General features: G+C 40.8%; 1 protein-coding gene across 1 annotated transcript in view; it reads right to left on the bottom strand.

Moving 5' to 3' along the window:
• Window positions 1–7,552: 7,552 nt before the first annotated feature.
• DCTN6 (dynactin subunit 6) overlaps window positions 7,553–22,343 on the bottom strand; it is a 27,271-nt gene continuing 12,480 nt past the window's right edge. The window contains exons 3-7 of the mRNA NM_006571.4: window positions 16,002–16,107; window positions 13,978–14,066; window positions 11,737–11,784; window positions 10,562–10,704; window positions 7,553–8,117 (exon numbers count right to left, since the gene is read on the bottom strand). Coding sequence (NP_006562.1) covers window positions 8,019–8,117; window positions 10,562–10,704; window positions 11,737–11,784; window positions 13,978–14,066; window positions 16,002–16,107 — 485 coding nt within the window. The 3' untranslated portion in view covers window positions 7,553–8,018. The remainder of the gene's footprint in view (window positions 8,118–10,561; window positions 10,705–11,736; window positions 11,785–13,977; window positions 14,067–16,001; window positions 16,108–22,343) is intronic.

The raw sequence follows: 22,343 nt of genomic DNA, 5'->3' as shown, positions 1-22,343 counted from the left end.
CTAAATCTCATCTTGAATTGCAACTCCCACAATTCCCACATGTTGTGGGAGAAACCTGGTGGGAGGTGATTGAATCATGGGGGTGACTCTTTCCTGTTCTGTTCTTGTGATAGTGAGTTGGTCTTGGTCTCAGTCTCACAAGATCCGATGGTTTTAAAAACGGGAGTTTCCCTGCACAAGCCCTCTTTTCTTGTCTGCCACCATGTGAGATATGCCTTTCACCTTCTGCCATGATTGTGAGGCCTTCCAGCCACGTGGAACTGTAAGTCCAGTCAACCTCTTTCTTTTGTAAATTGCCCATTCTCCGGTATGTCTTCATCAGCAGTGTGAAAACGGACTAATACAGATACATTAATGATGATTAAGTCCTAAAAATCTATTCTACTAAAATCAAGCACAGCTAGCCTACAGATAAGGGATGCCAAAGTATAATCTTCATAAAAAGAGGTTATTCATTTGAAAGTATACATGTGTCACTGACACTGAGGATATGTTGAGGCCCAGGCAATTCATTTCCTTATACCACTGTTTGGCAGCTCCTGGAACTATACTGCAGAAATTCTGATTCTTCTTCTTCTTCTTCTTCTTCTTCTTTTTTTAATAAAGATGAGGTCTGGCTGGTCTCAAACTCCTGGGCTGAAGCAATCCACCCACCTCAGCCTCCCAAAGCGCTGGGATTACAGGTGTGAGCTACTGCACCCGGCCATCCTAACTACGCAGTCAGAATCTGTAGTTGGTTGGTTAAAGAAAAAAGTCAGCTATATGGGGCTTCATAAAATTATTATATATATCTTCAAAATTTTATTTTTAATTTAAAATATAAACAGGTTTATCTACCCATCACTCCTTTGATGTCAGGATAAGACCTTTTCTTTGCGTGTGGGCCTGCTGATGCAGGCTGCACAGAGGACATTGATTAGCACAGCAAGAAGCATTATCAATTTCAGCTTTAGTAGAATGAGGACTCAAGACACTTGTGAAACAAAATGAAGGCAAAGTCCTATATTTTGACACTTTTCTCTCCCTCCCAAACATTCACGGTTGCTTTACCCACACCTAATTCCACAGCATTTTTTTCTTTAATAACACGTCTTTTATCAGGTCTTTCCCAAGTTTTCAACTTTTTTTCATAGAGATTACTCTCTTCACACTCATAATTGTTTGATTTTGGTAATATTGAATTAAATTACATCGTTATTAAGTACAACTTGCAAAAACAAGTTTTGGAACAAATACAACTGATTTTTTTTTTTTTTTTTGAGATGGAGTCTTGCTCTGTTGCCCAGGCAGGAGTGCAGCAGCACAGTCTTGGCTTACTGCAGCCCCCGCCTCCTAGGCTCAAAGAATTCTCCTGCCTCAGCCTCCTGAGTAGCTGGGATTACAGGGGCCCACTACCATGCCCAGCTAACTTTTGTATTTTTAGTGGAGATGGGGTTTCATCATGTTGGCAGGCTGGTCTTGGACTGTCCTCAAGTGATCTGCCCACCTCAGCCTCCCAAAGTGCTGGGATAACAGGCATGAGCCACCATGCCCGGCCAAATACAACTGATTTTTGGAAAGCATACAACTCAGAGAGAGCAGTGATTAGCCTACCAAGGAGCAGACGACTTCATAGTAGGGGAAATTTGGGTTCTGAACATCCGGCATTATTTTTCACCGAGAGCAGAGACTGGCTCAAAAGTCTGAACCATATAGGTAGCTAATGAAAGCTGAGTTAGTTTAAGAAATGGAAAATCTAGGCAGGCCATGGTGGCTCATGCCTGTAATCCCAGCACGCTGGGAGGCTGAGGCAGGAGGGTGGCTTGAGTCCAGGAGTTCAAGAGCAGCCTGGTCAACATGGTGAGTCCCTGTCACTGAAAATTTTAAAAAGGAAAAAAGAAAGTCTAAATTCAGGGACTTAGCACCAAACTTTCATGAAGGTGAGCAATGCTGAAACCCTGTGGAGAGGGATGCTGACAATGAAGGCTTGGGCAATCAATCCATTCTTGGCTGGGTCTCTAGTGGGCCTGACAATGATTCTCTTCTCAAAGCCTGAGCCTCCATTTGCATGTGTTTAGTGTCATGAACCTAGTCCCAGCTAAATGTTCTAAAATATTTAAATACAACACCCTTTAAAGGAGACAAGAAAGGAACTGCTCCTAGTTTTGTTTAATAAAGTATTAAAGTCTAAAGTATCCTTAAAATGGGTCAGAAAGAGCGATGGCTCATGCCTGTAATCCCAGCACTTTGGGAGGCCCAGGCAGGTGGACAACTTGAGCCCAGGAGTTCGAGATCATCCTGGGAAACATAGGGAGACTCCATCTCCACAAAAAAAAATTTAAAAATTAGCTGGGCCTGGTAGCACAAGCCTGTGGTCCCAGCTTCTCAGGAGGCTGAGGCAGGAGGATTGCTTGAGCCCAGGAGGTTGAGGGTGCAGTGAGTTGTGTTTTCCAGCCTGGGTAACAGAGCCAGCCCCTGTCTTCAAATAAAAATAAATAAATAAAACTCTCCAAGAGCACCCATTTGCTAGACACTATGGGGGGACTATCCTGTCTACTGGTGCCCTCTTGTGTTAAAACAGCAGGTCTACATGAGAATTATGAAGCTTTAAGGTGCATGTGTCTGAGAGATCTTCATTCACCTTGGATTGCACATTAAAAATTAGCCCCAAAATGATTCAAATGGTGGTGCTTGAGGTGGGGCCATGGAATCAGAAGTGTTTTCTCCCCACCTCCTAAACTGTGTAAAATGAAATTATTAATGTATTACTTTTACCAGTAAAACACACACACACTAAAAAAACAGAACAAAACACCACCACAAATTACCACTACAGTTAATTAGTTATAACAAGCAGACCCAGACTGGGCACAATGGCTCACACCTGTAATCCCAGCTCACTCAGTTTCTGAGAATCAGGAATCTGCATGTGGCTTAGCTGATGCTGGGGCTGCAGTATTCATTTCCAAGATGGCACACTAACATGGTTGTTGCCCGAAGGCCTCAGTTCATCATCACATGAGCCTCTCTACAAGGCTACCTGGGTGTTCTCTTGACATGGCAGTTGGCTTTTTCCAGAATATGAGTGATCCCAGAGAGGATCACTCAGTTGAAGAATTTAAAGAGAGGCAAAGCGTTTAGGAAAGGTGAATCCACATCTGTTTTCTCCATTTGTATTTAGGAAGCCCACTGAATTATAGAATATCTATCTTAAAAGGTTTAGTCTTCCAATAAAGCAACAGAGAATATGCTTAAGATCATGAACTCTGGAGCCAAAATGCCACTTACTAGCTGAGTGGACCTCTGGCAATTACTTAACCTCTTTGTGCCTCAATTTCTGCAAAATAAGGATAGTAATATCACCTACCTGATTAAGACAATTAAAGGAAATAATGTGCAATTAACAAGTTACACGTAAACTGCTTTTAACAGTGCTTGGCATGTAGTCAGCTCTATGCAAGCTTAATAAATGCGATTTTTAAAAAAGTCAGACTTGACAAAGTATATTAGGGTTAAAATAGTTCTTCTATTATTTCTCCCGCTTAGTATTCTTATCTCTCAAGGTTTTTGCTAATAATAATTTCTGTTACGCCTCAACTTAAACTGATGCTTAATGGAATTTGTTATATTTAAGGGAAAGTAATCTAAATTGCTAAGAAGATAGATGTGGCAAAATAAAAAATATTTGGTCTTTGTCCCTGGTCCCTGGCACAGAGCTTCTCAGACCCTTGGAAATTACTGGGTTTTTTTTTTTTTTTTTCTTGAGACGGAGTCTTGCTCTCAGGGGGAGTGCAGTGGTGCCATCTTGGCTCACTGCAACCTCTGCCTCCCGAGTTCAAACAATTCTGCCTCAGCCTCCCAAGTAGTTGGGATTACAGGTGCCCACCACCATGCCTGGCTAATTTTTGTATTTTTAGTAGAGATGGGGTTTCACCATGTCAGCCAGGCTGGTCTTGAACTCCTGACGTCAAGTTATCTGCCCACCTCAATCTCCCAAAGTGCTGGGATTGCAGGCATGAGTCACCATGCCTGGCCGGAATGTACTGTCTTTTGTATGCTAATGAGAACATAGGGCTAGAGGATCAGAACTCTCAGCCCTGACCCACAAACTCCAGGGAGGTTAGAGGGGCTACAGACCGGATCATAAAAACTCCTGAATGATTAGATTTGGAAAGCTTCCAGGCTGGTGCTGTGCTGGGAGGCTGACGTGCTCAAAGAAGGAATGGAAACCCTGTGCCATTCCATCCCATCCCATGGCCTTGGTACTTCTTGCTTTCAGCTGTTCCTGAGTTGTACCCTTGTAATACATCTGCAGTAGTAAATACACACTTTCCTGAGTTCTCTGAGTCATTCTAGAGAATTATTGAGCCTGAAGGATCATGGGAATACCCTAATTTGGAGTTGGGGTGGGCAGAAGTATGGGTAGTTTGGGTACCCTATTTGATGCTGGCAAATGAAGTGGGTGTAGTTTTATGGGAGTGTGGGGTCTGGGCTAACTCCAGATAGCACCAGAACTGTTCTGAATTGCTGGACATTCAGTTGGTGTTGGAGAATCGGTTGCTGGTGTTGGAAAAACCACACATTTGATGTCAGAAAACACTACATAATGGGGCTTCAAGTGGGTAAGATGACCTTTGATGACGTCATGTGCCATGGCAATTAATATACAGCAGTCCTTCCCAAAGTCATCTTCCTCCCAGTGTGGAGACTCTCTAAAGAGATGCTGATAGTGCACTGGGAGAAACCCAGATGTAAATGGATGTGTACATACATGCTGGAGTTTAAAAATATGAGCATGGGCTGGGCACAGTGGCTCACGCCTGTAATCCCAGCACTTTGGGAGGCTGAGGCAGGTGGATCACCCGAGGTCAGGAGTTCGAGACCAGCCTGGGCAAAATGGTGAAACCCTGTCTATTAAAAATACGAAAATTAGCCAGGCATGGTGGCACACACCTGTAGTCCCAGTTACTCAGGAGGCTGAGGCAGGAGAATCATTAGAACCTGGGAGGCAGAGGCTGCAGTGGGCTGAGATCGTGCCACTGCACTGCAGCCCGGGTGACAGAGCAAGACTCTGTCTCAAAATAAATAAATAAATAAATAAATAAATAAAATAAAAAATAAAAATATGAGCATGAACTCTTTGATGCTATTGCCTTCAAAAGGTACAGCTTAATTCCCCATCCCTTCAGTGTAGAATGGACTTAGTGACTCACTTCTAACAAATCAAATTCATTGGAAATGATCGTGTGCAACTTCAGAGACTGGGTCATGAAAGGCCTTGTGGCTTCCATCCTCTCTGGGATCACTCATTATGGAGAAAGCCAACTGCCATGTCAAGAGAACACCCAGGTAGCCTTGTAGAGAGGCTCATGTGATGATGAACTGAGGCCTTCGGGCAACAACCATGTTAGTGTGCCATCTTGGAAATGAATACTGCAGCCCCAGCATCAGCTAAGCCACACACAGATTCTTGATTCTCAGAAACTGAGTGAGCTAATAAGATGTGTGTTGTTTTAGTTTTGGGGGTAATTTGTTACACAGCATACATAACTACTACAGTGTGTGCTTATGGATGAAGTGAAGTTTCATCACTGTTTCTAGACCTTACACTGTTCAACTGGTGAAGATCCATCATCTTGCCCGAAGAGCTAGTGCCAGATTGCAATAAGATGATTTGATAAAATGGTTTCTCTCTTTTCCCTGCCCAGTTACTACCTCATGTCACATGGATGTCTGGGTTCTCCTTACCACTTAGCTTATTTGTCTAGAATATTTGGGATGCAGTTTGAGTGTAGTCTCAAGTGAGATAGAGTGCCACTAGAAGAAGGCTGACAGCCTGGCTATGCAGAAGCCCCAAAGAGTGAAGTTTGCAATAATCTGTCCGGGCTTTGGTTCTCTATCCTGAAGAATCAGAAACTATGTTTCATCAGAATATTTAGAAACTCATAGGCTAAACTGACAAACTTGGGGGCAGAACCACACACACAAAATTCACATGAGACTGACATATAAACCAGAGAATTTCTCTAAATTTACTATGTGCAGAATGAAATGTTGGTGCCCTCATGCAGAATTCTCCCTTTTCCTGAACAACAATAGCTTAAAAGGCCATATCAACAATCAGAAGATGGTTCAGTTAGGCTTGTAATTAGTGCCAAAAGAAGTGGCAAGTCTCAAGGTATGTTCTCCCTAAGCCACATACCTTGGGTCTTGATAAACTAGTCCTAACTGAAGTAGAGAACACTTTTGGTCACTGAATTACTCACATCTCTTGGATGCAGGACTTCCTTTTCACGGATAACACTGTATACACACTGTCATATTTTGTTTCTTCAAACCCCATTTTGGTGAGTTGATAATTTCGGTTTTCTTTTCTCAAATGAGTTAATATCATGTAATAACCTACAGTGTACCTGGGAAGCATTGAGACTCTCCTCACTATGTGTAGACTCTCTGGTGGTTTCTTCTTATCAAGTCCTTAGAAGGTATCTCACTGCTGCCCCACATAGTACCTGTGTAGTTTGGAGAGGCCATTTACTTAGCATATCAGAGCCTGTCCAAAGAGAATACATTAGAACCAGTAAAGAATTTCAAAGACTGTCTTGTAATTTCTCATTTCTTTTATCTAGAAAATTTCCATGATCAACAACATTCTGAACTGATCACCAGGGGGTTGAAAAATGAATAAATAGCAGTTAACAGAAATAGGGTATTTATGTTCTCCTTTTCAAAAGCTCAATGTTTCATCTGCTACAGTATAGTTTTCCAAGTTTAGTCATGAGTATTCTTACCAAAATCATTCCAATTTCGAATGATTACGCTAATTTGCACTGTCAGTTTCAGAAATTCAAAAATATATTTTTTTCTATTCACAATTAAAAATTAAATTTTGAGTCAGGAGTTTGAGACCAGCCTGGGCAACACAGCGAGATCCTGTCTCCACAAAAAGTTAAAAAAAATAAAAAAGCTAGGCATGGTGGCTTATGCCTATAGTCCCAACTACTCAAGAGGCTGAGGCGGGAGGATCACTTGAGTTTGAGGAGGTCAAGTGATCCATGTGAGCAGACTGTGCCACTGCACTCCAGCCTAGGTAATAGAGTGAGATCCTTGTCTCTAAAATAAATAAATAAAAATTAAATTTTGAGAGAATATCTTAGTATTTTAGTATCTTAGTATTAGTCAATATCTACTAATTCAAAAGTTGAGAAGTATGTTCCAGTAAATTTATGCACTTGAATTATTTTAAAAATTTGGAATTATAAAATTCTCAACATTTTGCTCACTACATAGACAACAGAATAATAAAGCTCAATGATTAGTGATTAGCACTATGCTAAAATATTAATAATTTCATAAATTTGTATAATTTCAAAATTTCTTTTAGTTTCATTGTCCTCAGAAACCCAAGAATGCCACTAATTTGTATTCTACTGAAAACATCTTTCCCTGATTACTTTTGTTTTACCAAAAAGAAAAAATTGTACTTTTCTTAAAAACAAAGTGAAGTCTAAATTAATTCAATAGCTACTGAAATTCACCTGAAATTTTAAACAGCTACAAATCCACAAGAGGAAAAAGTAAACACATTAGCTTTAATACAACTAGTACATAATAAAAATTAAGAGAAAAGATTAATTCAAGGAGAAAAACTGATTAAAGTATGCTTACTAAAGGTCCTGTTATCAGCATTTTTATTCAGTTTAGTCTATGCTAGAATATAAATACATGACAGTATGTCTTTTCTTGTCAAGGGTAGCCTTTTACATAACTAAAATTTGTGGCTAGCAGTTTATATAACAAAAGAAAAGCTAAATCTGTAAATTATCAGAAAAGAACCAAGGATATAGGAAAATAATACATTTATATAAATTACAAAGGACAGTTACAATGAAACTCCATTAGTTTCCTCTCAACCCAATTTTACAAAATAAAGTGAACATGTATTATTCTGTGAGTTGTTAAGAGTACATAAACACTGTGGGCCCATTCAAAAGACAGTGGTCAAAGACAAAATGTTATCTTCATGTTATACACTGTTCTTAGTTCTTTACTGGAGTTGAGCTTCCTTTCATAGTCTTCTTTAGGTGGTGGTAATTTGGCAAGATTTTCATCAAGAAATCCAGCTGTAGTGTCTGGGGCTAAAAAGATAAGGTAATTAAGGCCGATTGGCAGAAAGCAAAGTCAAGAGTACCACACAGCAACCAGGCGTGGTGGGTCATGCCTGTAATCTCAGCACTTTGGGAGGCCCAGACAGGAGGATGATTTGAGCTCAGGAGTTCCAGAACAGCCTGAGCAACATAGGGAGATCTTGTCACTAAAAAAATTTAAAAATTAGCTGTGTGTGGTGGCACACCCCTGTAGTCATAGCTACTCAGGAGGCTGAGGTGGAAGCAGGGCGGCAGGGGTGCAGGTGGATTGTTTGAGCCCAGGAGGTTGAGGCTGCAGTGAGCCATGATTACACCACTGCACTCCAGCCTGGGTGACAGAGCCAGACCCTGTCTCAAAGAAAAAAAAAAAAAAGTTCCAGGTAGCAATGGTTATTAATAAGTTGTGGAATTACAGGTGCTTTTCATTGACTCATTTTTGCTTACATGCTTGTTTTTTTTTTTAATTTATAAGGAACATATACTAAGTTTGGTTACAAGAAAAAGCCAACAGATTTTATATATTTATATAAAAATATACAGAAATCAGTTTTAAAACTCGCTTTTGTAGATTTCACCCTGGCTTCTGAAAAGTTAAAAGTTCCGATTACAGAAGACCACATAAGTAAAACACCCAGAGTATTTTGTTTTCCACGTGACCTACAGAGCCACACAGCTGAGGTGTACTTGTTGGTTACATCTGTCTGATCTTCACTCTTCATATACCAGTACTGCCCAGATTTTCCTGATTGTAAAACTCACTGCGGTACTTGTGAAAAATATAGATTTTTAGGCCCCTGCCCTAGCACTGTGACTCAGTAAGTCTGGGGAATCTTTATTTTGAATAAAGACCTCTACATAATCCTTATGATTAGTGAAATTTAGGCATATTATAAAATATAAAGCTTCAGATATTCTTGCTCACTTAATTCTAATCTCCCTTCCCCAACACAAGCTTCATTTCCCACTCTTCAGTCATTTTTGCTGTTATGTAGAAAGTAAAACAAATGACTGGATTTGACCTTATTTCCTTTTTAGTCTATAGAGTAATACTTGCTTAAAATAATAATAATAATAATGAAGCCAAACATTACAGAAATAGAGTAACCCAAAAAGAACTGGAGTTTTGATTTCTGATAAAATATGGCTAAGAATCAGAAGCAAAGTTATGTCTTGAAACTATTCTTTTTTTTTTTTTTCTTTCCCAGGCTGGAGTGCAGTGGTACAAACAGCTTACTGCAGCCCTGACCTCCTGGGCTCAAGCGATCCTCCCACCTCAGCCTCCAAAGTAGCTGGGACTACAGGTGAATGCCACCATGCCCAACTAATTATTTTTTATTTTTTGTAGAGATGGGGTCTCATGATGTTGCCCAGGCTGGTCTTAAACTCCTTCCTGGGCTCAAGTGATCCGCCCGCCTTGGCCTCGCACAGTGCTTGAAACTATTTTCTTTAGTGGGAGGAAAAGGAGGCTAGGTAACTAAAGAAATATATATTGAATGTGCCAAGCAATGAGGCTCGAAACTGCAATACAAATGTCTTATGTCCAAAGGAAGCCCAAATGTCCTATCTTTTTCATCTCCTACTCTAATATTAAACTCCAAATATGTACTCTACATTATTCTTGATCTGAATTTCTAGGAGGAGATAATTTCTCAAGCCAGGAAAATATCCAAACACAGTTTCTTATTCACAAGCTGTGTTTATTATGAAGCTATGGCAATAAATAGACACACCCCAGTTAGAGGCACAGGATAAATGTAGTATGGTCATTCCTTAACCTTGAAGACTGATATTTTAGGAGTAAATCAATATGGCTTGTACAGTTTGTTTATGCATTGTCAGTGACAATGCATGAGACCAAGAGTAACATTTCTGGATCTTTTCTCATAACTGACTTGTCATTGTCATCCTTGTATATATTTTTGATATTAACCTAAAGACTAAATAATTGAACTGCAATTAAATCTTGGTTTTAGGGATTGAACTGCAATTAAATCCTGGTTTTCGGGATGTTTCTCATTGTTTTCTTTTTATTTATTTATTTTTTGAGTTGGGGTCTCTGTTGCTCAGGCTGGAGTGCAGTGGCATGATCATGGCTCATGGTAACCTCACACTCAAGAATTATCTTCCCACCTCAGCCTCCTCAGTAGCTGGACTATAGTCATGCCCCACCACACCTGGCTTAGTTTTTCTAGTGTTTGTAGAGACAGAGTCTCACTATGTTGCCCAGGCTGCTCTTAAATTCCTGCCCTCAAGTCATCCTCCTGCCTCGGCCTCCCAAAGTGCTAGAATTCCAGGCACGAGTCACTGAGACTGGCATCTTTTGTTTTATTTTAATTATGTTCTTAAATAGTGTACCTGCTGCCTCATGAAGACAATTACATTGTATTTTGGGAAAATCAGCAGATAGAACTCTTTTTAAAGAGAGGTTCTAGTACCTGCGGTCGCTCAGTCTGCACCCGACGAAGGCAGTCTGCACCATAGATCACCGTATTCTCAGGGATGACTTCAAATGTATTTAGGTTGCAACAAGCCCCAATGATGCAGCCACTTGTCAATATTACATTTCTGCCTACATATGCTGCAATAAAAACACAGAAAGAACTGCAACTTAAGACATCAAATGATTCCAACACTTTTTTTCTTAAGGTGATTTAGGTATAAAAATGTAAACTGGCCTCAAGAAAAAAGTTAAAGAAAATACATCAGTTTGGAGTTTGTATGGACAACACAGAGGCAGGCAGTACAAGCCAGGGTCAGATGAATTCAAAATGGAGCTCTGCTGCTATTTGTGTGACCTTGGGAAAGTCGCTGCAAAGTCTCTAAGCTCAAGTTCATCTATAAAACAAAGAGGCCACTCTACTTCACAGTTTAAGGAATAAATGTGATAACAGATGTAAAGTGATGAGCACAGGTTTGACACACAGTAAGCATAAAATAAATAGAAAATGCTGATGATAATAGTGATAATTGATAATCCAAATTAAAATAAAAGTCATTAAGTAGATTAACAAAAAGTGTAATTTTATTATTTTAAAAAGAAGCATTTTCTTTCGTGCCACTCAGGACCAAGAAAGATAACCCACTATTCTAAAGAATTGTCATCATTCAGGTTTTTTCTGGACCTTGGTGGGACAAGCTCTTGAAGTTGCTTCCCAGTAGTGACAGTGACTTTAGGTAATCTCCTGTCTGGTCCCACTTACAAGCACATGATATTTGTTTCTGATTGGCTAGGGAAAAGTATTCCTGAAATTAAAGAAAACAACTGCTACAGAAACTTTGATTTTTCCCCCCCTTTAATTCTACAACAACACTAACCAACTAAAATTTCAGAGACTAGTATTTAGTAGAAATCTTTTCCAAATCTTTCATTTAAAGTTTATGGTTTAATTCAATCCTGTACATAGCTGATTTTAAATTTAATGTATTTAACATTACCAGATAACCACATAACCAGATTAGGTTCCTTAGTGGCAAACAATTAGTTCGCCAGCTATTGTAGCCCACTTCCAAGCACAACACCTTGCCACAGTTTCTATTAGGTTGTTTCCCAGGACACCACAAAGAGAAAAGAGGTCACTGCTTTGACAATGAAACTCTGAATGTAGCTTACCTTTTGATTCAATGACATTATTATCTCCCATCTTCATGGCTTGGGAATCTGTAAGCCAGAGTTAGGTAAATACTACAAATATGTTCATCTTTAGTCCCCACTAACACAGTATGTACTTACATTGCACTGGGACAGAGGACAGGGGTGTCAGATGGGCCATGCAGGCTCACCCTTGCCAGAACTCTTTGCTCTGGGCAATCTGTGGTAACGGTTTAATCTTTAAACATAAGTATCTCTAGGTATAAATAAATGACTTGTGTTTTTAAAGAAATGAGCACCTTATACCCTGATTTTATGAGTAAAATATTTTCATAATTGTTTCAAGATAATTAAAACTATCCATCACCCAATCACTTAAACACTGTTAAAAGTTTGATATATCTTTATATAAATATATAGAATTTCCTGTATATAAGTGGGAATCAAACTGTATAAACTTTTATAGCTTATTCAGTTCACTTAAATTTGCAAGCATTATTCCACGCTATTAAAATCTTTAGGCCAGGCAGGGTGGCTCACATCTGTAACCCCAGCACTCTGGGAGGCCAAGGTGGGAGGATTGCTTGAGCCTAGGGGTTCAAGGACCAGCCTGGGCAACAGAGTGAGACACCATCTCTACCAAAAATAAAATTAGCTGGGCACGGTGGTGTGCACCTATAATTCCAGCTACTTGGGAGGCTGAGATGGAAGGATTGCTTGAGTCTGGGAGCTGAGGCTGCAGTAAGCTATGATTGTGCCACTGCAATGCCAGCCTGGGTGACAGAGCAAGAGCCTGTCTCAGAAAAGATAAAATAAAAAAAAAATCTTTAAAAACATAACTTTAAATGACTGCTTAATGCTCCTAGTGGTTTTATGCTCATAGTTCAATTTATTTAAATATCTTGCTATCATTGAACATTTAGATTTTTCCTTCTAAATATTTTCTACTATAGTATGTTTTGCTGACACCATAAGATTTTACTATCTTTTTTTTTTTTTTTTTTTTAATCTTTTTGAGACGGAGTTTCGCTCATTGCCCAGGCTGGGGTGCAATGGCGCGATCTCAGCTCACCGCAATCTCCGCCTCCTGGGTTCAAGTGATTCTCCTGCCTCAGCCTCCCGAGTAGCTGGGATTACAGGCATGTACCATCACGCCCGGCTAATTTTGTATTTTTAGTAGAGACGGGGTTTCTCCACGTTGGTCAGGCTGGCCTCAAACTCCCAACCTCAGGTGATCTGCCCGCCTCGGCCTCCCAAAATGCTGGGATTACGGACATGAACCACGGTGCCTGCCCTGATTTTACTATCTTTTTAGAGTACTAAACTAAGCAAAAGAACTGGAGACATTCTAGGGAGGAAAAAAGACAACACATGAATAATGGAATATTTTCACCCCTACACACCATTTTCTTGAATCAGACAATGCATTGTCTACCTAAAACTACAGAGGAACCACACTGACAAAGCTGGGGTTCTTGAATCAAGAAGGAAGCCAGCATTGCTGCTTCTATGTTTACTGTCACTCAGCCATTGCTACCTGTCAACAAGCTGTAGTACCAGCAAAAGAAGTGGTTTCTTTCAAAGTGCTGAGCTAAAGATATGTGTGTGTCTGCGTTTGTCTAAAAACGGCATACTTATTTTACTCTATTGACTTATTTACAGGAACAGAAGGGACCATTTTTAAAATATATACTATTCAAGAAGTCTGTTCAAAGAGCTAGATGACCTACTTTTATTTATTTTTATTTTTATTCTCTTTTGAGAAGGAGTCTTGCTCTGTCACCCAGGCTGGAGTGCAGTGGCACAATCTTGGCTCACTGCAACCTCTGCCTCCCGAGTTCAAGCGATTCTCTTGCCTCAGCCTCCCAAGTAACTGGAATTTCAGGCGTGCACCACCGTGCCCAGCTAATTCTTGTAATTTTTTTTTTTAATAGTAGAGATGGGGTTTCACCATGTTGGCCAGGCTGGTCTTGAACTCCTGGCCTCAAGTGATCCGCCAGCTTCGGCCTCCCACAGTGCTGGGATTTACAGGCATGAGCCACCGCACCCAGCCTGGATGACCTACTTTTAAAAATGTAATTATAATATATATTGTGAATGTAAGTATGTTTGATAGATAAATTATGACAATTTTACAATTTCTACAGGAGAAGACTTAGGTACTAAAGGAGAGCCAGGAATTATTTACAATTTCTACAGGAGAAGACTTAGGTACTAAAGGAGAGCCAGGAATTATTTATGGTAGATTATTGTAAAGGATACAACAGCCAACTTCAAACACATTATTGGTGCCAATGATCATAGGTTTTGGTTCTGGATCTTCAGTGTCAGGAGTGATATTATCTGGGTAACTGTAAACAGAAGAAACAAATCATCCAAAAAGTCAATAACACAATAAGCAATTTTCTTCCCATTTTCGAATTTGGGTTAATTCTTTCAATTTTACCTACATCAAGCTTAAAAGACATGACTATATAAGTTATTTCTTTTTTTCTTTCTTTTTTGATATGGAATCTCACTCTATCACCCAGGCTGGTACAGTGGCACCATCTTGGATCACTGCAACCTCCGTCTCCCGGGTTCAAGAGATTCTCCTGCCTCAGCCTCCCGAGTAGCTGGGACTACAGGCACGTGCCACTAGGCCTGGCTAATTTTTGTATTTTTGTGGAGATGGGGTTTCACCATGTTGCCCAGGCTGGTCTCGAACTGATCTCAGGTGATCCACCAGCTAGGGCCTCCCCAAGTGCTGAGATTACAGACATGAGCCACCACGCCCAGCCTATGTAAGTTATTTCTTAATTCAAGTGATTCATTCATCCTGTGTGCTAGAGAAGGCTTGATTTTGAGTTGAAGAGAGCTACTGAAAAGTGAAGAAGTCATTGGTGTGTGGAAAAGAATAGCCTTCCTTAGTTTATTTGATTTTTTTATTTTTTATTTTTTTTTGAGACGGAGTCTTGCTGTGTCCCCCAAGCTGGAGTGCAGTGGCACGATCTTGGCTCACTGCAACCTCCACCTCCCAGCTTCAAGCGATTCTCCTGCCTCAGCCTCCCAAGTAGCTGGGACTACAAGGTGGGGTGCCACCACGCCCGGCTAATTTTTTTTTGTATTTTCAGTAGAGACGGGGTTTCACCATATTGGTCAGGCTGGTCTTGAACTCCTGACCTCGTGATCTGCCCGCCTCGGCCTCCCAAAGTGCTGGGATTACAGGCATGAGGCACCACGCCCAGCCTACTTTATTTTTTAAATTCAAAGTCCAGTGGGTCTTCTCCAGGACAAAGGAAAGAAGATGCTAGCTATCTTTTTAGGCTGTTAATTAGAACCAAAATCATGCCTAACTTGAAAATTTTCCACCCTTAATAATCATTTGGGATTGTGAAACATAAACAGATATTCACATAAAATAATTATTGCTATTAGTTAGCTAGTTGAAATATTTGGAAGATAAAATGTTTGTGTTCTAAGAGGTGGACGCCATTTTTAAATGGTGCTTTATCTCTGACAGTTGAGTTACTGCAGAATATAGTTGCTGTTAATTGACTTACACTGAAGGTGCCAAATGTATTTTAAATCCTAAGTAAGCATTAAATCAGTCTTTTTCTGACAGTTAAATATTTTCCCAAGGTCTTTCTTACAAATTCCATACATGGTTGCTATAAATTAGGTATAAGCTTGAATTCCTTCCCAAAATTTTATCTAGAAAGAACTTATGTTTATGAAAAATTCATACGTATTACAGTCTAGTTCACTCAGATCATGCACATGTTCTAGTATTTTATTATTTTTAATCTTTACAGTTTAAAAATTGCCTCTAAGACTCCACATTTTTCAACTATAATTCTGGGTGTCACCTGTGCAAAACATGTGAAAAAATATATTTGAGTTAAATTCACGTGTTTAGGCATGAGTAATAACATTTCAGCTACAACCAAAAAATCAAAAAAAAAAAAAACTCTGCAGGGTGGTGGGCACAGCACTTGGAGGCTTGAAGTGTTCGGGAAATGTTTGCTTAAGGAATGGGTGAGATAGCCACATGTAAGGGGAAGATCACCAGACCGAGCGTCAAAGATTCTAGGCAGCTACTCAGCTCTCTCATCTTGGACAAGTCTTTTCCCTCATATGGTATTTGGTTTGCTCATTTACTTATGTTGAAAAAGACCCTTAATGCTTCTCTAGCTCTAAAATAGTAGGCCTCCTGGATGTCAGCTGAAAAGGTTCTTACAGACAGCTGAAATTAAGAAAAACCGTTACCCATGGTACTTGGTTCACAGTATGTATAAGAGTCTTACGCATTTATGATAAGGGCCTGTTCTTCTATTAGGTTCCCTTCGCCAATCACTATTGGCCCGGCTTCCGCAATAATTCTTGCTTTAGGGTGGATCACTGTCCGAGGTCCTGTTAAAAATAGTTTGAGAAGAAATTATTGGTGGAGGCTATGCTTCCAACAGAAGGGTGGAAGGTGACTGAGGATGGGTGAGGCTGTTGGGAGGAACATTTTCTAAGTATGTGCCAGGCACCAAGCTAGGTACTTCACAGATACTATCTCCCAGGCTTTATCATCAGTAGTCAGGGCCAAGTTGCAAGCCAATGTGAGTGGAATGGCACAGGCACTAGAGCCAGACAGCTCTGGCTCAGCCTCCACTCGGAAGCTTCCTGTGATCTCAGCGGTGAAACAGAGGTGATGACAACACCAGTCCCACAGGGTTGCTGTAAGGGCTAGGGGCGATAATGCTGGAGACACAGCATGTGACACAAAGGTGGCAATAAAAATTAATTCCTTCTTTTCCCTCAGCAAGGTAACACTCTCTTTGCTTAAGCTGTTCTGCTTTCTTATGCGAGTGTACCTCCGAATTAGTCTTTTTATTACATAATTGAGAAGAAATGTGGAGGCCAAGGCGGGGAGATCGCTTAAGGTCAGGAGATCGAGACCAGCCTGACCAACATGGCGAAACCCCATCTGTACCAAAAAATACTAAAATTAGCCAGGCATGATGGTATGTGCGCCTGTAGTCCCAGCTACTTGGGAGGCTGAGGCAGGAGAATCATGTGAACACAGGAAGCAAAGGCTACAGTGAGCTGAGATCATGCCACTGTACTCCAGCCTGGGTGACAGAGCAAGACCCTGTCTCAAAAAAAGAAAAAAAAAAAAGGAGAAATATGGGTGGACAGAAGTCAGAAATTATGGGATCTAACAGCTTTGTTCCTCTGTCAGTGTCCCTATTACAAGCACACCTACTGAAAGGTGGCACAGCTTCTGCTGTCTGGCCCAGGATATGATTTAAACCAGTGAAAGCTGAAAAGGTTAAAGGGAGGCAGCAGAAGGACCCAAAGGTGATCACTGGAGTCCGAGGACTTTGGCGTGGGGAGCCCTGAGGCGATGCCTCTAGTCTCGAATTGAAGGGAACAGCCAGGGCCCTCATTACTCCCACTTCACCAGCACGGTCTACCCCGCCCTGAGCCTGGAATGCTAACATACTCCCTCCCAGCTTTATCTACCACAGGCTGAGGGTTCTGGTGATAATGAAACCACTGATGAGAAAACATAGCCTCCTTTAGGCTCTCTCCAATATCCATCCCACGTACCCCTCAATACCAAGGCAATTTTTATGGGTAAACAAGTGCAGATGAAGTAACTGACTCTGAAAGTAAGGGAGGGTGGACAGAAGTGTTGATAGAGGGGGTGGGGGATTAGGAAAGAAATTCAGTATTCAATTGTGTAAACTGGTTTTTTTTTTTTTTTTTTTTTTTAAGAGACAGGGTCTCATTCTGTCACCCAGGCTGGAGTGTAGTAGTGTGATCATAACTCCCTCCAGCCTTCAATTCCTGGGCTCAAGCAATCCTCCTGCCTCAGCCTCTTGAATCACTGGAACTACAGGCACATGCCACCACATCCAGCTAATTTTTAGAGATGGGGTCTCACTATGTTGCCCAGGCTTGTCTTGAACACTTGGCCTCAAGAAATCCTCCTGCCTCAGCCTCCCAAAATGCTGGGATTACAGGCGTGAGCCACTGTGCCCCACCTAATGATATAAATTGTCAATTCATAATTATTATCTGCCTGTGACAGCTGAGATGCCTCACTATATGTTATGGGGCAACAAAAATAAATACATGTTATTTTTGTCCTTTTGAACTTGTTATCTTGAAAACTGGGAATGCTTAATATACACTCATTCACAAATGTACTAAAATAAATAAGGAGGTGTTTCTGGTGCCCAGAGAATTGGAGAGAACCTCAGGAATGCCTATTGTTTTTCCTGATGAGGAATTGCTGGGGGCTGATAATGAGGGCGGGGGCCTAAAACAGGGTGCTCAGTCCAACATCCCAACATTTCTTATCAGAACGCACAGTCTGGTAAGAAATAACAAGAGTGGCCTTGATCTCTCAGTCACTTCTGGCTTTCCAAATCTTCAGCTGTTAAAGTAAAATTTCCCAGGCATATTCTCCTATTCAGGATGGAAGATTTCAGGATGGAAGATGGGATGGATCTCTGAGATCCCTGGGAAGCTTCTCAAGTTGAACATGAGTGTAAATGTGTGCATCTAACCTTTTCTTTAAAACAAACAAAAAATATATATGCATATATAACACATATTCACATAGATACATATATAAAATAACATGATCATTACAAAAAATTACAAAAAAATAGTTAGCTATTCTTAAAAGTTTGGAGTATATTATTCCAGATGTAAGCTCCACTGTACACTTAAGATATGTAAATATTGCTGGGGGCGGTGGCTCATGCCTGTAATCCCAGCACTTTGGGAGGCCGAGGTGGGTGGATCACTTGAGGTCAGGAGTTTGAGACCAGCCTAGCTAACATGGTGAAACCTTGTCTCTACGAAAAATACAAAAAAATTAGCCAGGCATGGTGGTGCACACCTGTGGTCTCAGCTACTCAGGAGGCTGAGGTGGGAGGATCGCTTGAACCTGGAAGGTGGAAGGTGCCGTGAGCCAAGATCACATGACTGCACCCCAGCCTGGGTGACAGAGCCGAGACTCCATCTCAAAAAAAAAAAAATTTGTAAATATCACTCCATATAAACTATATCTCATTAAAAAGTTTAAAAATAAATACGATTTGGAAAAACATATGCATTTCAAGCACACACTTCTTTCACACCAAGAAATATTACCTTCTTCTGCAATTTGCTTATTTCATGGTAATTTTTCCAAGTAAGTATATCTAGATAGATATTCTTTTTAATGGCTGAAAAGTATCTCATTTTATATTAATATACCATAATTTATTTCACAGGTCCCTTAATAATGGCATTTAGACATCACAACTTTCGGGGCTGTGATCCTAAACAACAGGGAAATGAGCAGTGGATTTCTTTTAAAGGAGAAACTGTAAGGCTTCCAGCTGTGGGAACCAACTGAAATTTGTAGTTTGCACCATACCAGGTTTATATTTTACGTCAAAATATTCTATGATAACAGGACACAATCTGCCTCTTTTAGGTTCTTTGTAATCAAAGCCCCAGCCAGCCCCACCCCCCTTGTCTAGAGAGTCTAGACACCGGACTCTATCACTAAAGGTGATGTGCTTACTCTCACAAAGGCTTGTTTTCTCATCTACAGAAAGAAGAGATCTGTAACCTACTTCTTTGGGCTGAAATGTGGATTATATGAAATGTTTGAAAGAGGGATTGTGGGGTCTGGACCATGGTTCTTAAAAAATGGGAGATTTATCACTATTTACTACTAAGAGCTAATGCACAACTTTTTCATAGTAAGCAAAATAACTAATTCTGGTCTGGGACACAGAAGAAAATGAACCACTTTGCACCTCTACTCAGGTATCAGGGTAATACCTCCTGTTAGCCAAGGGGAAAAATTCCACACCACATGATCAGACAGTAAAAAGATTAATGAAAGTATTTTCCATAACTAGCTTTAAAAATCTTAGATATGGGGCTGAGCACAATGGCTCACACCTGTAATCTCAGCACTTCAGGAGACTGAGGTGGGAGGACTACTTAAGGCCACGAGTTCCAGACCAGCCAGGGCAATGAGTCAGACCCCCTTCTCTACAAAATGAAAAATTAAAAAAAAATTGGCCAGTTATGGTGGGGTGCACCTGTGGTCCCAACTACTTGGGAGGCTGAGGTGGGAGGATTGCTTGAGTCCAGGGGTTCGAGGCTACAGGGAACAATGATTGTACCACTGTACTCTAGCCTGGGCAACAGAGCAAGACACTGTCTCTGAGGGGAAAAAAAAAAGATAGGAGGAAGTGATCGTCATATCTGTTACAGAAAGCAGATCCTCTGCCACTGCTAGATAAGTAGCCAGAGACACTAGATATTCTGCCGGTCATCAAGCTGTAGTTCTTGACAAGACAAGGATACCCCTGGGACCTGTGTGTTTCTTTAAAACTTATGAAAACAAGTGACAGTTTCATTTTTCCCTTTCAAAAATGACTAAGTAATACAAATTTCTTATATAAAGAACTCAAACAAATAAGCACACTTTTTAAAAATTTTTAAAAATTTTTTTCACAGAAGATACCAGAAGCACACATTTTTAAAAATTAAAATAGGCCAGGTGTGGTAGCTCACATCTGTAATCCCAGCACTTTGGGAGACCGAGGCAGGTGGATCACTTGAGCACAGGAGTTCGAGACCGGGCAACATGGCGAAACCCCATCTCTACTAAAACACAAAAATTAGCCGGGCATTATGGCGGGCATCTGTAATCCCAGCTATTGGGAGGCTGAGGCAGGAGGGTCACCTGAACCCGGGAGGCAGAGGTTGCAGTGAGCCGAGACTGCGCCACTGCACTCCAGCCTGGGTGACAAAGTGAGACTCTGTCTCAAAAAAAAAAAAATTAAAACAACCCCAAGTCCCATAAGATGTCTTGCACAATATTTAAAAAATAATATGTGAGCTATTTTAAGCAGGTATTTTATTTTATTATTGTTATTACTGTCTTTATCATTATTAATAATTATTAAACAAGTAACTGGAAAATGCCTGGTTAGAAATCTGAGGGCTGTGTCCAGAGAGGGAGAGAAAGCACCGCCGCATTTAGGTGAGACCAGTGATTTAGACACCACCTCCACCTGCTGGCAGCATTGCCAAACTACAGGTCCCAGTGTTAAGAGGCTGAAATAAAAGTTTGAGAAATGATCAGCTTTAAATTGTGAGGTGACAGCAAATGTCACGGGCAATAACTCATCAAATAGCTTCTCTCAACTTCTTGCGGGTCTTTTTTGGGCACAGACTGAAGTAGTTAGCATAAGCGTACTTCAGGATACATAACCGCTAGATTTTGGTTTGGTGAACTTTTTTTTTTTTTTTGGATACAGAGTCTCGCTCTGTCGTCCTGGCTGGAGTGCAGTGGCACCATCTCAGTTCACTGCAACCTCCGCCTCCCAGGTTCAAGCAATTCTCCTGCCTCAGCCTCCCGAGTAGCTGGGACTACAGGAGCCCACCACCACGCCCAGCTAATTTTTTGTATTTTAGGAGAGACGGGGTTTCACCGTGTTGCCCAGGCTGGTCTCAAACTCTTGAGCTCAGGAAATCCGCTCGACTCGGCCTCCCAAAGTGCTAGGATTAAAGGCGTGAGCCACCGCCTCTGGCCTGGTGAACTTCTTAAAGGAAGGCTGTGATTTCCGTGAATGATGCGGATAATTCTGCTTTGTCTGCGTGGTCTATTGATGGAGGTTGGGCAGCACAGAGCCCAGAGCCCAGCAACTCAAGCACCATAAGAAACAGCACACTGAAACGTGGCCACGGTTCACTTCATGCTTTTCTGATGCCATGAGCACTTTTATTACACCTAGATCAGGTCTGAATTCAACATAAAGTTTAAGGGTCTTGAGGTTAAAGTGCTTTAAAAATAAAAATCTGTCACCACGGAAAACATTGAAAGCCTGCTGTGAACCCTGGCGCTCCTTCTGGCGGGGTAGTTTGTGTATTTTCTTACTAAATGTGCTGAAGCCCTATTTGGCTTATCTGCTTGTTTGGAAAAATGTGTCTAGAGTTGGAACTGCCTTACTGGCTGATGAATTATTTTTCTAAATGGTTGGCTGGGCTTGGTGCCACATAGCCAGAAAGATATTCCTTGCATCCAATTTCCATTTCCCTGGTAAAGGACACTTTTCCTGTCTATCTTTGCCACAGAAAGCAATCTTTGTGTACATTTCCATTTGTCAATAAATAATTCAAAAGGCCTTAAGCTCTGTTTTTTTGACAACTAAACAATTTTCTTGAACTGTAAGCTGAAGTACCTGTAAGAGTGCTTTATAGGTGATAATTTCTCAAGTCAAAGCCACTGTTCTGCCTTACTGAAAAAGACTGCCGCAATGAAAGGGAGGCTTTTGGTCCGTATTAAAACTCTCCTAGAGAGACTAAGTAAGTGGGACAAAGTGCTTCCAGCACAAAACATTTCCACTGAGCCGAGTTCCGCCTTCACATACTGATGTCCTGACCAAGTTCTGTCCCGGCCTCTCGCCCTGTAATGGACCACGGGACGGTGCTTCAAGGTACCTTTCAGAAATGTTTTCAGCTCTCAAAATAAAGATTTACAGGAAATAATTCATGGGCCATGAATTAAGGCAGACTAACTAAAAATAGGCTTGATGCTATGAAACCTTATTTACCCAAATTATAATTAACAAGAG

The sequence above is a fragment of the Homo sapiens genome, chromosome 8 (assembly GCF_000001405.40).
Source record: "Homo sapiens chromosome 8, GRCh38.p14 Primary Assembly".
NCBI lineage: Eukaryota > Metazoa > Chordata > Mammalia > Primates > Hominidae > Homo > Homo sapiens.
This window is presented reverse-complemented; position numbering and strand designations above follow the sequence as displayed.